The sequence below is a fragment of the Homo sapiens genome, chromosome 15, assembly GCF_000001405.40.
Source record: "Homo sapiens chromosome 15, GRCh38.p14 Primary Assembly".
Taxonomy (NCBI): Eukaryota; Metazoa; Chordata; class Mammalia; order Primates; family Hominidae; genus Homo; species Homo sapiens.
In genome coordinates this window covers 56,813,335-56,817,360 of record NC_000015.10, presented here as the reverse complement: position 1 = coordinate 56,817,360, position 4,026 = coordinate 56,813,335, and the positions used below count along the sequence as shown (strand labels likewise).

The window sequence follows — 4,026 nt, the reverse complement described above, 5'->3', positions numbered from 1 at the left end:
CATACTGAGGTGTTTTTAAATGGAACCAAATATCCCAGGGGAATTTTCTCTGCACTACTAGCATTGCTTTGTTGCACATTTTTAGATTACACACTGTAAATTATAGCTGAAGAAAATACAGTATGCTAATTTCCTCCTGCATGTCTTTGAGTTATTTTTAGGAAAAGTGTCTTTGGAATTCAGCTTCTCAGGTAAATGTTTAAAATGAAGAGAATAATAAGACTAAGGCAGAGGGATGCTCCAGGCTCAGACCACAGCTGTATCACAGTCTGGCAGTTTGTAATGAGCACAACTTGCACGTCCAGCATGGATTTCAGCTGCCAATAGTGGAAGAAGCTCTGGACTGGGCATCAGTAGATTTGGGTGTGCATGCTGATTATGCAACTTTGGATAAGTGACTTTGGAGGAATTTGTGTCATGTTCCTAAGTCTTGACTTCCTCATCTATGGAATAAGGGTGTTCAGCGAGATCTCTAGAGTGCTTTCCACTTCTCATACTCCACGGCACTGTGTGCTAAACTAAGCAAAACGACCTCAAATCACATGAGTAGATTGTGTTGACTATCTTTAAAAAGAATGAATAAACTCAGGCCAGGCGCAGTGGCTCATGCCTGTAATCCCAGCACTTTGGGAGGCCAAGGTGGGTGGATCACTTGAGGTCAGGAATTGGAGACCAGCCTGGCCAATATGGAGAAACCCCATCTCTACTAAAAATACAACAATTAGCTGGGGGTGGTGCGCACCTGTAATCCCAGCTACTCAGGAGGCTGAGGCAGGAGAATCGCTTGAACCCGGGAGGCAGAGGTTGCAGTGAGCTGAGATCACACCACTGCACTTCAGCCTGGGCGAAGAGTGAGACTCTGTCTAAAAAAAAAAAAAAAAAAAAAAAGAATAAATTTAATCTGTGAACATTATAAATTCAGGAGCATAAAATACTTCAGCCTGCGTTCTTCATGATCTCTTACTGCACTGAGGTTGTTAATTTTTTCACGTGGTGTGCTGGATATCTCCCATTTGCCCTTTAGATCCACGTTCCATCTTTCTCCACCCTGGCAGACTGTCCTATAAGGACTACAGCACACGCTTGTGTCCTGTGGCTTCTAGGTGAGCTCAGCAAATGTGCAGAAGTTTGAAAAAACAGTTGAGTGTAAGGTTGCTCCCTCCCTGCACCTTGCCTGTGAGGTTGCCATGACTGCATTCGGCAACCAAAGGTCACAGCTCCAGTAAAGCACCCTCTCTACCTAGCTGTCTTCAAATTTCCATAATAGATTCCTCCACTTGTTGCTTCAGGTCTAGGGGCACTGTACGACCCCTGTGGTTCTCTATGCCCAGTCTATATTTTTAAAAACTCGTTTAGGCTGGGCATGGTGACTCATGCCTGTAATCCCACCACTTTGGGAGGCCAAGGTGGGAAGAATCCGAGATCAGCCTAGGCACATAGCGAGACCCCGTCTCTAAAAAATTAAATAAATAGAAATAAAAGATAAGTAAAAACGAGTCTTTATTTATTTATTTATTTATTTATTTATATTTTAAGGAGGGTCTCACTCTATCACCCAGGCTGGAGTGCAGTGGCACAATCCTGGCTCACCGCAACCTCCGCCTCTGGGGTTCAAGTGATTCTCCTGCCTCAGCCTCTTGAGTAGCTGGGATTACAGGTGCCCACCACAATGCCTGGGTAATTTTTTCTTTTTTTCTTTTTTTGTATTTTTTAGTAGAGACAGGGTTTCGCCTTGTTGGCCAGGCTGGTCTCAAACTCCTGACCTCAAGTGATCTGCCCGCCTCGGCCTCACAAAGCGCTAGGATTACAGGCATGAGTCACCGCATCCGGCCAAAACTAGTCTTTATTAAAGTCTCCCCAGAGTTTCCATTGTGAATGAGCCTTCTGTTTCCTGCCGGTGGTACGCTGACTGATACACCCAGTTTCTGGGGATTACGGGTGTGGCAAGACCACAAAGTCCATGGTGCTTATTACTGAAATACATAAATTTACCTTGAATGCATCCTTTTTTTTCTCTTTAATTGCGGCTTAGAAACGATAAGAATCTCTGTGTACTGCTGCTTTGTTATGTAGTATTTGACCTCTATCCATGCTCGTATTAAACAAGATTCAGAAGCAGATAATAGAAACCATTCTAGTAGTTTTAGCAAGAAAGGATTGGCTACAGGGAATCCCATGCCCACAGTTACAGGGGCTGGAGGAGTGGGCTGTGGACTGGGTTCCAGAACAACACTAGAGAGCTCACCTGTCTAGAGAACTATCTCTGCAACAATCTGGAAGCTGGGGATCAGGAAACCACTATACCACTCACCAGATCCTAGATCACACTGCCTTGCCACAATTTGGCAATCAGAAAATTGTGGACTCAACTGTTGGCCCCAAACCATACTGTAACAGATTCGTACCATCAAAATGAAGGCCTGGGCACTGCCTTCCTTCCTACCTGACTCAGTGCTAACTTAAATTTTCACACAAGTACATCTTATTGGTGGATCCTAATCATATTCCTAGCTGTATGAAAGTCTGGAAAATGTCACTTTTAGTTTTCTAGCCTCTGCAGTATAGGAAGGCACTCTACAAGAAGGGTAGAATGAATTCTGTGCAAGCCCCTCTGCTCTATCTGCCACAAAATTATTTCAAAAACGTGAACTTCGGGCATTCAAAAAAGAGCAAAATTCAAATCTTTACTCTAGGATTTATTAGCTGCGTGACCTTGGACAGGATGCAAGGTCCAATATTACTCAGCCAATTTTTCCTCTGTACAATGGAAGTATAATATATACCTCACAGAATTGCCATTCATTCATTGATTTATATCTCTATCAAATTTTTACTGATTTTTACCTTAGTACCAGAAGTTTTAGTTGAAAGTGACAAAAACTAATTGGTTGATTAAGCCAAAAAGAAAACTATTAAAGGATATTTGGTAGGTCGCAGAATTGCCAGGAGGGCTAGAGAGCCAGGCTCAAGGATGAACTTCCAGGATACCACCACAAACAGTTGTCAGGACTAGCCTGAAGACACTGCTACTGCCTTCACCTCCCAGCATTCAATGCTACATTTTGCACCGCCAGCAGGAACTTTACTGACACAAGCACTACTGCCAGCCCTGTTATAGGAACTCAACAATGCCACCTCTGAAGGCCAAGTGGCAGTGGTGTCACTCTCACTGGCAGAAATGGATTCCATGTGGCATTACTTTCTCACATTGCTCTCATCTCAAAGAAATTTCACAAGGATGTCTGATGGGGCCTGAGTCACATGCTTGTGCCCAGCTAGCTACAAGGGGGGTGAAGAAAGCATAATTTCTGATATCTAATTTGGGGAGGAAAGAAACTTCCTAACCAAAAGGAGAGTGTTCACAGGTGCTGAGCTCCAGACAAAATAGACTACACCTACTCCAAATGGCTAAGCAAAAAGGATATTTATTGGCTCTCATTCTCTTTCTTACTCTTGTTCTTACTTTGCTTTCCTTTCCCCGAGCTTCATTTTCAGGCATTCTCTCCCTGGTGGCAGGTTAGGCCCTGAGAGCTGTAAACTTACGTTCTACCAGCCAAGCAATCCCTTGGAAAGAATGTGTCTTTCCCAATCATTCCTTCAGAACTCTGTGGCTGACTCTATTGATCTGACTTGGATCACGTAAGCTTTCCTAAATCATTCACTGAGCCGAGAAGATGGAATAAATTTACACACAATTTTGGGTTACATGCCAACCAAGCTGTAGAGGTATAGGTTCAGCCCTTCTAGAACTGTCTGGCTCAAGCATCGCGGAAGAAAGTTTTTATAAAGGAAACTTGGGATACTGGCAGGTGAAAACAATTATTGTCCACTATAATCTCCCAAGCTGTTTGATATCCATACACACACTCTCCTTCTCATACATGCAGCATCATCATAATTGTTATCACCTGCAATAGTGCAACTCTTTTACATACCTCTCAAAACTCCCTCCTTCCCCAAGTGCTAGGCCAGTTACTGCATCCACCTCTCAGCAACATGCATTATTCTCAGGTTGGCCCAGAATAG

The 4,026-nt window shown here is 43.5% G+C and overlaps 1 annotated feature.

The window, feature by feature from the left end:
• Positions 3,068–3,237: an enhancer, noted in NCBI's record as "experimental_40379 CRE fragment used in MPRA reporter constructs". NCBI's record gives its function as "activates a minimal promoter by MPRAs in K562 erythroleukemia cells, with activity observed for both the introgressed and non-introgressed 15:57106407 variant alleles {active_cell/tissue: K562}" and the evidence as "EXISTENCE:reporter gene assay evidence [ECO:0000049][PMID:34662402]".